At 45.8% G+C, this 12,710-nt stretch overlaps 1 protein-coding gene and 2 pseudogenes across 1 annotated transcript in view; 1 reads left to right on the top strand and 2 right to left on the bottom strand.

Moving 5' to 3' along the window:
• The window catches only part of TF (transferrin), a 134,644-nt gene that overhangs the window by 78,357 nt on the left and 43,577 nt on the right, over positions 1–12,710 (bottom strand). Inside the window, exons 4-7 of the mRNA NM_001354703.2 lie at positions 10,614–10,792; positions 8,617–8,772; positions 5,483–5,624; positions 5,104–5,304 (exon numbers count right to left, since the gene is read on the bottom strand). The gene's annotated coding sequence lies outside the window, so the exon portion shown is untranslated. The remainder of the gene's footprint in view (positions 1–5,103; positions 5,305–5,482; positions 5,625–8,616; positions 8,773–10,613; positions 10,793–12,710) is intronic.
• RNA5SP140 (RNA, 5S ribosomal pseudogene 140) lies at positions 8,118–8,209 on the top strand (annotated as a pseudogene).
• INHCAP (inhibitor of carbonic anhydrase pseudogene) overlaps positions 8,603–12,710 on the bottom strand; it is an 8,805-nt pseudogene continuing 4,697 nt past the window's right edge.

Raw genomic sequence — 12,710 nt, 5'->3', positions numbered from 1 at the left:
TCTCTTACTCAATTAGAACCTTTCCCTGTTCACTGGGCCCTTTTCATCACATTTATGTCTTTTCATTTTACAAAAACAACAAACCCTGCATTTATCCCACCCTATTCTCCAGCAATGGGCTTCTCTTCCCACTCATACAAATACCTAAAAGAAATCATCCTCACTCACCATCAGCACCCCTTCCCACCACTCTCCCTTCCCACCACTCTCCTGGACCCTTGCCCATCCAGCGTCCAGGACTCACTCATGATTAAACGTGCTCCCATCAGGGAGCACAGGGGCCAGTTCTTGGCATATATTTTATTGGGTCTCTCAAGTTCATTCTTTCCCCAGTGATTTGAAATGTCACCATTTGTGACCAAATGGCAATATATCCATGAATCTCTCTTGGACCTCAATTCTTTTCCACTTATTTGTCATTCTTGCACTTAAACCATCCTTAAACCATTATTACATCATTATAATGTGATTTTTGTATCCAGGAAAACAAAATTCCCTTTGTGTATTCAGTCCTTGTTTGGTCCCTCAAGCATTGTTACTTTTTTGAGAACCAACTCCCCCCACCCCAGCCGCCTCAATCCATGTGGTCACAGTGGAGGCAGCTGTCACCTTACAATGTGACTTCACTGCATGAGTTGTGTGAACAGGAAGCTTTCGCCCAGACTGTTGTGTCAATCCCCCTTCCTGAGCATTGGGACGAATACACTATGGTCTTTGTTTGACTGCTCCTTTATAACTGATGAACTGTAACAACATTGGGACTGCTGGTTGCAAACATTTCCCTCCAGGTAGCCTGAGAAACCAAAACCCACCCTGCAGGGGAGAAGAACAATGAGGCAGATGTGCAGAGAAAGACAAGCAGACGGGAGAAGCAGAGTGTATCCCCTTATATTAAAAAATCATGTGTTGTCTATTTGGAATTCTAATTTAACTGGACATCCTGAATTGTATGTGGCAACCCTACCCTTAAAGAATTTTCGTTGGCCTCCTAGGCTCAGGTATCAGCCCTTTCAAGGAGGGAGCACCCAGAGCACCTGTCAAGACAGTGCCCTTGGTGTAAGCTGCTTCACATGAGGTTTTCTCACTTACAACCAACGGGGTCCTTGTTCATTCTACAGAAGAAAAGAGACACGAAGCAAGGTAAGTAGAGAAAATATATAGCAAGCTAGAGAGTAATAAGTGCTAAAGAAAACATAAAGCAAGAAAGGGGGATATGAAGTATTGGCAAGGGTATGTGCAAGCATGTGTGTTTATAGGTTGAAAATTACAGAGTGGCCAGGAAAGTCTGCCCTGAGAAATCCTAAATAAAATGAGGAAACTAGCCATGATGATCTGAGGAAGACAAGCACTCCAGATGGGGGTAGGACCAAGTGCAAAGTCCCCGGGGAAGGAGTGTGCCTGAGGTCTTCAAGGAACAGCCGAGATGCCAAGCTGACTGGAGCAGAGAGTGCACAGGGAAAGAAGTAGATGAGGTTGCAAAGGCCTCTTAGATTACAAAGAACCTTACAGATCAAAGAGGCACCTTAACTTTTACTCCGAGTGATATGGGAAATCACTGGTGGGCTTTGAGCAGAGAAGTATTAATGTAATGCTTTAAGTTTAACAGAATCACTTTGGCTCATGTGTTGTGGAGGAGAGTGGGACAAGACAGATGCATGGAGACCTGTCAAGGGGCTATGATAAAAATCTGGGGAGAGACGATGGTGGTTTAGGTCAGAATGGTATCAGTGGAGATGGGCAGAGAGATCGATTCTGGATACCTTGAGAAGGTACAACCAATATAATTTGGTGATGGACGAGATATGGGGTGAGAGAGAACAAGGGCAGGCACAGAAAGCAGCAAGGTATTGACATTTTTTCCAAAATGAAAAATAGAGTTGCCCTTAACTGAGATGAGGTGGGCTACAGGATGCAGCACTTGGGTGGGAGTGTATGGAGTTTCAGGAGCTCAGTTTTGGACATTTAAGTTTGAGATGGTGGTTAGAAATCCAAGTGGAGATAGCCAGTAGGCAGCTGGATCTACAGGTCTGGGGTTTCAGGAAAATGTCAGAACTAGAATGTTAAATTTGGGAATTGTCAGCATACAGAGATAAACCCACCAAGAGAATGGGCAGCAGAGAGAAGAACTCCAAGTACAGAGCCCTGAGTCATGCCAGCATGTAGAGGCTGGGGAAGTGGACAGAACCAGCAAAAGAGACTGAGGTGCAGTGTCAGGAGGGGGAAGGGAGAATCCAAGAGAGTGTGGTATTCCAGAAGCCAGGGAAGAAATCCAAGAGGAGGAAGTGATGGGGGCTGCCAGTGATGCTGGTAGATCAATTAACACTGGAACAGGAATTAAAAGAAATTAAAGAGTGTGTAAGCTGATTCCTTAAAAATCCTGCAACAACACAAGGACCAAGAACTGGCCTTTCGATTTAGCAACAGAGATCACTGGTATAGTTTCATCTCCACAGTGGTCGGTGGTGTACCAAGGGGGTTGGAGTGGTGGGAGTAGTCTGCCCATACTCTGACAATAAAGAGGTATATTTTCTGTAGATCATTGAAAAACAATAATAAAACCAACTCCATGTTGGCAGTTTGGGGCCTGAACAGATTCTTAAACTGGGTCCTGGGGAGATTTAAAGGGGAGAAATATGAGTTAGCAAAGATATTTAACTCTTTCAAGGAATTTTGTTGTAAAAAGAAGAGGAGAAATGGGAGAGGAAAGTGAGGTGGAGAGGTTTTACTTAGTTATTTGTGTTTAAGATGGAAAAACATAGCAGCATGTTTTGTATGCTGATGGAAATGATCTAGTAGAGAAGAAGATTTGATGCTGCCACAGAAAAAGGGAGAACTGCCAGGGCAACAATCCTGAACCGGTGCAGGACAGGACTTAGCGAGGAGACAGCCAGTTCACCCCAGTAGGAGGAGGGAAGGCAGTGACTAGGGCCACAGATGCTGGCATGTGGGTAGATATGGCAGCAGGGTGTTGTAGAATTTATCTTTCGATTTCTTTTCTTAGGAGAAATAGGAAACAAAGGTATGAAAGGTGGGGGAAGAAGTGTTGGAGGCTTAAGGAGAGGAGAAAGTATGGAATTGTCTTCTAGGAGAAATGGGGTAGTGGGAGGACTAGAGATACATGGCTCATTTAACAAGGTCCTCATCACTTAAAGGGAAACCAGCCAGGCTGGAAGTGCAGGCACAGTTGATTGTGAAATGTATGCTCAGAAAGGATGGAAAAAAAGACCACGGGGAAAGGTGCGGGATTGATAGATCACAGGTCAGCCAGGAGTGAATGGCTAGAGGAGTCAAGAAACTTAAAGGGCTGGGTGTGGTGGCTCACACCTGTAATCCCAGCACTTTGGGAGGCCGAGGCGGGTGGATCATCTGAGGTCAGGAGTTCAAGACCAGCCTGGCCAACATGGTGAAACCCCGTCTCTACTCAAAATACAAAAATTAGCTGGGTGTGGTGGTGGGCACCTGTAATCCCAGCTACTCAGGAGGCTGAGGCAGGAAAACTGCTTCAACCCAGGAGGCGGAGGTTTCATTGAGCCGAGATCGCACCACCACACTCCAGCCTAGGTGACAGAGCAAGACTCCATCAAAAAAACAAACAAACAAACAAAAAAACAACTCAAGGAAGTGAAAAGACAGGTAGGAGATGGAGAGAATGAGAGGTCTGAAGCTAAGACTGCTTTTTATGTGTATGTTCATTTTGGAAGAAGTTGTGGTTCTAGACAGACCATCAAGCCTAACACCAATGCACCTTCTGATGTAAAGAAAAATTAAGCAATTTCATCCAGATTTAATGTAATAATAGTATATGTTGTTGTAGATCTGTGAAAATATGTAATTTATGCATGGCTTATGAAAGAGAGAAAACTTTGGAGAGGGCAGGACAAAGTAGTCTGGTAGTGGAATACCCTGGTGTCTATGAATAAAAGAGAACTTTCTAGAGCCTCATACATTGTTCACATAACTCATTCATACAGCACTGCCCTGCTTCCTCAAAGGTCCAGCACTGCCCACAATACCTAGAGTTAAATCTACGTCTTTAGCCAGGCCAACAGGGCTCCGAGACAGCCAGTGCCTCTCTCTCTGTGCCCTCATCCACAGACCTTCTTCTCTGGCCTCCACACAGCATGACTTGCCCTGCCCCCATGCCTTTGTGCTTGCTGTTCCTTCATCCTACGTTGCTCTTCCTCCAGGTTTTCTCAGGCCTGATTCCCACATGACCCCTCTGCCTGCTGAGGCCTGCCCTGACCACCTTTTCTGAAATTTCTAAAACTGGTTGCTGATGCATCACCTCCCTTGGTTCCTCAGTAGCACTTACAGTTGGAAAGTATCCTGCCCTTTATTTATGTGCTGTTGTCCTACTTTCCCCAGAAGACTGGGAGCAGGGGAGGGACAGGTATTATGTGTGGCTTTGAGACAGAAGAGGGACAGGACTTGGTACCCCCCATACCCCACCAAGGACCTCACTGCAAACTGGTAGAGGGGAGGCCCCATGGGTGGCAGGGACCCCAACCAGCCCCTCCAGACCTTGCAACATAAACCTTGCTCAAGGAGCCATACCTGCTGACTGCCGGACCCTGAGGAAGCTAAAAGCAGCAGCTCCCACCATAAATCTTACTATCTCCCACATGCACGCAAGGCCAGGAGAATGACTGATCCTTAACTTTAGCTTCATTATAATACTAAAAATCACACCCAGGGGTGGAGATGTAACATGCTTATAAGACAAGCGATGCATGAAGAAGCATGTCATCAAACTGTGGAGGTGCTAAAAGTTCCCTGCCTCTACATTCCTAGACATCACTCCTTTCTCACCGCGGCCCCTTTACAACTTCCTTTTCAACACCCTCTGGGGAGCCAGCCAGAAAATTCTCTCTCTCTTGTGTTGCCTCCCATATTCCTGGGCATAAGCTCCAACAAAGCCTTGTCTGGGAAAACTATCTTGGCCTTATGACAATTTCTATTGCATTGAGAGCCCAACAACCCATGGTTGGTAACAGCTTAACTGCTGTAACACCTCTAGTTAGAACAATACCTATTAGGTGCTCAATAAATATTTCTTGAATGGATGGAGGAGCCCAGGAATATCTATTTTTAAAATATACTTACCAGCCAAGTGTAAGAAGTGAGGTGTCTGGTGTCCCCCCTGTGATTTTAAACCAAGGCTCTGATGGATTCTTGACTTGTCCACAGTCACACAGAAGAAAGTGGCAAAAGTAGAACTAGAGTTGTGACTCTGCCGCCATCATTCTTGCTTCTCCCTAGGTGCCCTAAGGTGCCCTAAATCATCTGGGTCTGCAGGAGAGTGCCCTAGAGAAGAGCAGGACTTGAGTCATTGGAGCCATTCAAAGTTTGCAGTAGTTCTGTTTCCTAGATTCTGGCTCCTTCCAAATGCAGCAGCCAGATGCTGGGATGATGGAAGAAGTGACAGGACAAGAAATGTACTGGCTTGGTGCAAAGATAAAGGTGGTGCACAGACATTACTTGCCTGAAAGCCCCACTGGAGCCGTAGTATCTCTCCTGGCTGTTGTAAGCCCATATGTGGGCAGGATTGCACCTGCCACCACACAGAGCACAGAGAGGGGAATCCGGATTAGACCCAGGGGCACAACTGCGACTGAAGAAATCATCTGCGAGAAAGGACAACCAGAGGTCAGGATCAGCCCTCCCTGCCTGTGTTAGCAAGAAAGCCTCAGATTCTGTCCCCAAAATTGCCTGATAAAGACACATTCAGTTATTTGTAACATATTATTAAAAGCAAGACTTTATGGAATTAAAAAAAAAAGGTTCCAGCTGGAGCTAAGTAAAGGGGAACTGACTCAAGTTGGATCAAGGGTCTGTGAGCTCACAGGGGTCTACTCCATCCCAGCACAGGGCAGTGGCATCGAAAGATGGACACAGAGTTTAACAGTGAGGGGACAAAAGAGAAGTCCTGGCTCGCAGAACCCGGAGCACATGTTTTCTGGGCTCTGCTGCCATTGCCCTTTTTCACAAGGTGTGCCATCACAGCTTCAAGTCCAGGAAGAGTCTAGAGAGGCACAGCTGCCAAGCCCTGTGCTGGGCTCCAGGGCACCACCATGAGGAAATCAGACACAGGCTCTGCCCTCTTGAAAACTTGCAGCCTGTAGGGCGATAGTCAGAACTCAAGTAACCACACCAGTAAATTCATGTTTCCCTCTTTGCTCTGGGAAAAAATTATAGGGTTCCATGAAGCTACAATAAAAGAGCCCCTTGCAGCCCTAGGGGTCAGGGAGAAGGTTTAAGCCGAGACATGAAGAGTGAGTAGGAGTTACCCAAGTGAAGAGTGGAGGGGAAGAGCCCTCCAGACAGGGGACCAGCATCTGCACAGGCCTGTGTTGGGGTGGGGTGGAGGCACGGCACAGAGAGCCTCATGGAGGCCTTCAGGACTAAACCACCAAGAAAATGACGGTGAGTGCAGTGGGGGGCAGGGTCCAGACCCTTTTACTGTCATTAGTTTTGTTCTTTATCGTTAGAGAGATGAGAAGTCTGTGAAGGGTTTTAGACAATGCTGGGCCAGGGGCAGTAAGCTGGATATGGTCATATCTGCACTTTGCAAAGATTGGCCTGGCAACAGGGTGGATGGAAACCAGAGCGGATGTGGAGTTCAGGTGGCAGGCTCCTGGAGAAGTTCAGGGGAAATGAGGGCAGCTGGGGCTAGAGGAGCACAAAGGGGAGGGAGATGAGTGGAAGGAGGAGAAATTGGCACCCCTGGAGATAGATGGCTATGCGGAGGATGAGGCTTCCAGTGGGCACAAGAGGATGGACTGTAGGATCCTCCACCACACCAGGTAGTTCTGGAAAAGGACCAGGCTCGGCAGGGATGGTGCATTCAGTTTTGAACAGGATGAGCTTAGTGTGCTTTTGAGATATCCATCTAGAGATGTCAAATAGGCAGTTAAATACATACATGTCTGGAGGCTAAGGAGAGATCTGTGTTGGGGATCTGTGTTGAGAGATCTGTGTTGACAATTATCAACACAGAGATAGATAAAAAGCATTTACCTAGTGCTTATCATGTGCCTAGCTTTGTTTGTGTAACACCCCTTTGGATGGCAATTGAGGCTGTGGGCATGGATGTGAGTGCTTGGGGATTCCGTTGAGATTGGGAAAAAGAGTTTCATTTAGCAACGCAAACGTTTCTTAACTAGATTGGGAAATGGGGACCTTGTGAGAATAGAAGAAAAACAAACCAGTGTGTTTTCATAAAAGCCAGGAGATATTATTTTAGGGCGAAATGAGGAAATGCTGCTGAGAGGTCATGGGGGAAGCAACAGAAGCACATCGTTCCAACTGAGCAGTATGGAGGCCACTGGTGGCTTGACCAGAATCCTTCCTGAGGAGTGATGCAGAGGAGCCAGGCGGCAGGGAGTTGAAGAGTGAGTGGAAGGGGAGTGGTTCCAACAACACTTTGATCACTCTGGCCTTAAAGAGGAGGAGGGAAGGAAGGCAGGAGCTGCAGGAGAATGTTGTGGGGGGGCCAATTTTAAAGATGGAAAACATTCGGTGTGTTTACATGTTGAGAGAAATTGTTGGACACACCAGAAGGAGAAGTAATAACTGAGGGTTGAGACCATGGAAGGGAACATGGGAGTGACCCGCACCCAAGTGCAGGTAGAGGGATTGGCTGCGGAGGGAGGAGGTGGGGAGGTGCAGCCCCCAGGAGGCCCGCAGTTTTGGCAGGGGGATGTTAAGAGAAACTTCTCTGATGGTTTCTTTGTCTCCTGCAGGTGCAGGTGAAATGGTCTGCTAAGAAAGGTGGTAGATGGTGTGGGTTTGAGGTGTGTGGACAATTAGGACATTAGGAGAATCACCGGGAAATGTGGCATGTGGAGCAGAGAAGTGGTGGGGGCGCTTGTAAATGTTGGGGGCACACCAACGACAGTGCCTGAAGCATTCCAGTGACACAAACTGCTCTGCCGCGCTGTGACGCTCTCCAGCCACGTTCAGCTGCTCAGGTAAAAAAGAGAGCAGGTAATAGGGTTCAGTCAGGGCTGGGATTTTCAGAGAGTTGGGGAAAGCAGAGGAGCAGGAGCCTCTTAGGTAGTGGCATGAGCATAGCTGAAATGATGAATGCATCTAAGAGAGATGAGGATGGTCTACGGCCATACCACCCTGAATGCGCCTGATCTTGTCTGATCTTGGAAGCTAAGCAGGGTCAGGCCTTGCTAGTACTTGGATGGGAGAGATGAGGATGAACATGAAAAACAGCACTCCAGGACTTACTGGTGGAAGGTTTCCAATTAAGAAGGCAGCCATTTCGGTTTATATGTGAAAACAACACACTCGCGCTCACCAACGCATCCAGGCTGGTCTTGCTTTGCGAACCCAGGCTTGTTCCCTGAGCCATTTGTGAGACATCAAAAATAGAGCTATTTCCCTGAGATCTGCCCTTTGGGCCAAGGTATTTCCCTCAGAAGCAAAAGGATGAGAAGGAGGAGGACCTGCTCAAGGAGATGTGAGGCTCGCCCACAATTTCTGTCAAGCTCTTAAGCTCACCACCCATTTATGGCATTTTCTGCCATTCATCAAACTGAATTTCTCCTTTACCCAGGCACAGGCACAGGGAATGAACTGCCACAACACCTCCCAGAACATACTCACCACATTTACAGGACCCGGTTTGATTGTATATTAAGCCCATGGGGATGTTCCAGCTTGCAGAAGTGCCAACTGCAGTGTGGCAGGACTTCTTGCCTCAAAGAGAGTTCCAGGTGACATCAGCATCTGATTTCTTAACCACAGCCATGACATAATAGCCTAGAAATTGAAATACCAAGATGCAATTTCTTCTTTTTCAGGGAGAGAAGGGGAAGGAGGAGGAAGAATGTACGATCCAGTGAGATCTGGCCAGCCCTCCTGCACCGGGCCATTAAATGCCATCTCCATATGGTGGCTATGCTGGAGCTGGTATTCTCCATTTCCATCCTGTCCCCCTTCTGGCTGGAAATATGGAAACTACACTTCCAATGTTTCCTTGCAGCTGTGTTCTTAGTGTAAAAGGATGTGTGAAATTTGGAAGGTGGAAGTCACATAGAGGTCTTTGCCTTCCCCCTCACCTCTTTTCTGCTAGGAAATAAATTCTTGGAGATGTTAGGTTTTTCTGTCCAGATCTCTAGTATCCCTTCTCCATCCTAGAGGATTAGAAGCTATTACAGCAAATGCAGCAGCAGCAGCCACTATCAATTCTGGCTTCCTATCCCTTGGTCACAGCTACAGGATGTGTCTTGAAATCACTGTACTAGTAGAGGTCTTGCAGGTAGTAGGTCTCCTAGGGAGTCAGCTCTCTTTCACTATGGGTGGGAGTCATTCCAGGAACCTAGTGTCCACTTTTTGTTAACATTTAATTCCCTGTATTAAATCCCTTCCTGCTTAAAATAGTGCTTCATTTCTTTACTGACCCCTCAGTGATGTACTCTGTCTGTCCTTTCAAGCAGACAGCAAGACCATCTCAGAGAAGACTTTGCTGGCAGCAAGTTGCTCTTTCGGAAAAAAAAAAAAACCTATACATTTAAATATATACATATAGTATTTACTTATATACTATGTATTTATACATATATACATATAAGTATACATATTTATAAATACACACATTATAAATTATATATATATGTTTGCACACACATATTTACATATATATATTAGTGGAAGGGGTGCCAAGATACTATTATCAGACCTCCAGGGCACTCTGAAAATATATTTTAGAGCTACTGCTGCTAGCCCCTGCCTGTCACTCTCCCTGGGGAGAGGGAATATCTTGAACCCCTCATGTTACTCTAGTAGAGGACCCTCCCAATAGCTACCATTATTAGGAACTGAGCCAAACAGACTAACACTACTGCTCCCTAGCTATGTCTACATACATGCACCCACATATATTTACATACACTGTACTTTTTCAATAGAATCTTGCTATGTATTATTTTCTCTTTTTTTGAGACGGAGTCTTGCTGCATTATTTTCTGTGAGTTGCTTTATTCCTCCTCAATAATATATTGTGGACACTTCTTTGATTCAGTAGTGATAGATATGGCTACATCATTCTTTTATTTGGCTGAATCTAAGTTATATCTTATTATATATGGATGTATCATATCTATACTAGTAGGTATTTTTATTGTGGCCCATTTTCCCCTACTAAAACCCATTTATTTCTATAAATGTTTGTAATTATGAGTATGCACTTGTTTAAGTTTTTCTGTTGAATATAAGTTCAAAAGAAAGCTTTAATGAGTTATTTTTTAATGTTAAGTCTCTGATTTTCTAGGTTTACAATAATATTTTCTAATAATGACAATTTAATCTCTTTTCTCTTTCCCAATATTTAAAAACCCAACTCTTTTTCTTATCTTACTGCATTTACTTCCAATATAATGCTGAATGTCTTTGGTGGGAGTGGGCATTCTTGCCTTGCTCCTGATTCTAATGAGAATATCATGAATATTTCATTTATTCCAGTGCCAATACTATATAACTGAATTGTGCTTGTTGAGTTAGGTTGAACTGCAAACTGAAAAGAATCATAAGATTTGAATCATAAATTTTTAGAATTAGACGATAATGCGGCTCACCACTCCCTGCTTTCCCCACGTACACACCTTTTCTCTGTGTTGTAGATCAGGTCTCTACAAATTCAAACTTGGAGAAGTTGGGAGTCAACATGGCAGATGGAAGGTCCGTCTTGTCCTTCTTAGGTGACCTCAGACACGTCCTTATCATCTAGGAGCCTAAATTTTTCTTCAGTTAAATGGTGGCAGTGGAACCCCTCCTGGAGTGACTGATGGGGATCAGAGGTGCAGATATGAGCACAGGCAAATCAGGAATGGGAAGAGCAGGTTAGGGAGGTGGCTTTCCAGCAGTAGTGCAGAAGCAGGACTGGAGGCCCCTCCCAGTGAAGCAGGTTCTCCTGAGGCCATGGCAAGCCCTTGCCTACCACACTGCGGTCCATGACACCAGTCTGGTAGCCAAATGCTGTCATAGTGCCTTCCTTCAATGCCACTATTTCTGTACCTATGGCATTCATTATTGTCATCCATCTTTCCATGCGTGTGTGTGTGTGTGTGTGTGTGTGTGTGTGTGACTCTGAGGTTAACTCTCCCCCTCTCTACTCAGATGGCACCTTCTCCATCACAGTCAGTCACTCTGCTGGTGACTAAACCATCCTCTAAGTATGCTTGCTGATCTACATTTGTGTATCATTGCAGTTTCTGAATATGTCAACTACTCTTGAAGCAGTTAGGGTTGTTTCTGACTATAAATGATCAGAATAGAATACATAGCAGATAGAAGATTGTTTGCTGGACTTCAGGATTAGGGATGAAGACACAATTTAAAGAAGGCTTCTTAGACATGACAGCAGAGAGGGATGAGGTACAGCATATCCCCGGGCTGGGGTCCTGCCACACAGGAAGGGGAGCTGCTGCAGGTGAGCAGGGAAATGATGCCTCAACTTTGCACTCCAGTGGCCTTTGTGCAGGGTGGGCTGTGCAGGGTCCTATGACCCAGTGCTCAGCAGGGGACAGAGACCACAGCTCCTTGTGCTGTGATGCTCTAAATCCCTCAACTTCCCCAGCCCTCCTGCCTCAGAAGAAACTCTAAACCCAAGTATGCACTTGGTTTTCACCTCAGGGAATTCTCTATCACAGCAGTTTTCAAACCATAATGCGCATTAAATTTGTTAAAACATAGATTGCTAGCCCCAGCCTCAGAGCTTCTGACTCAGATCTAGGATGGAGCCCCAGAATTTTTGTTCCCAACAAACTCCTAGGGGATGCTGATGCTGCTGGTCCAGAGACTACACCTGAGAACCACTGTTCTATCCATTTTCCAGGAGTAGGTACTAGAGACAGACCCTCTCTGCTTATCTGGAGGCACAAAACGGAGGAACTTGCCTCCTAGTGGTGGTCTTCTACTCTAAAGACTGATCAACTCCCCTGCCATCAAGCTCCAGCTGGCTAAAAGCTGAAAGGTGGATTTTATTTTCCTCCTCATCTTCATTATCAGCATCTATGAATCTCCTTCTCTCGTGAGGTCTCTACTTAGTCCAGAAATGCCAGGAATGGGCCCCAGTGTGGACCTTCACACAGAGATGGGCAGGCAGCATGTGCTCAGGCGCAGTGTGGTGCCAGGAAGGGCCTGGGGTTTCCAGCCATTCCTCCTCTTCTGAAACCCAGGTGCAGCCGCCTCCTGGCAGTGTGGCCCTGGGCAAGTCACTCAGTCCCTGAGTCTCAGACTCCAGCTCCATAACATGAGACAACAATGCCCACATACTCCAGGGTTGCTGAGAAGAGGGAACAGGAATAGTGCAAACAGGAGTCCTTTGCCAACTATAAAGTGCCCTGCAAATAGTATTATTACACCCCAGGATAGGTTTGCATCTTAACAATTAACTGTGAATTTTTTTCCACCTCCAGTCATTTTTATTTGTTTTTAAGCTTTCCTCTCCCCAACAATGGGCCTTTACCTTTGAGCCAGTATTACTGATTCTAACTCACCTTCCATGGGTAAATTCACACACTTAGACCTAAACTGCTCTAAAAAGAAAAAGAAAAACAATCAAGGTACATGACATTAAACCCTCACATTACTCCATCCAAAGTCAGGAGCTTCTCAATCTCAATAGTCAATAATAATATGAGCAAGGTATCATTGGGTATCAGTGGGTTAAGGTTCTGCAAGCCCATTTTACCCTCTTC

This window comes from Homo sapiens, chromosome 3 (assembly GCF_000001405.40).
Source record: "Homo sapiens chromosome 3, GRCh38.p14 Primary Assembly".
NCBI classification, from domain to species: Eukaryota; Metazoa; Chordata; class Mammalia; order Primates; family Hominidae; genus Homo; species Homo sapiens.
The sequence above is the reverse complement of the archived record's forward strand: the minus strand, read 5'-3'. Positions and strand labels throughout refer to the sequence as shown.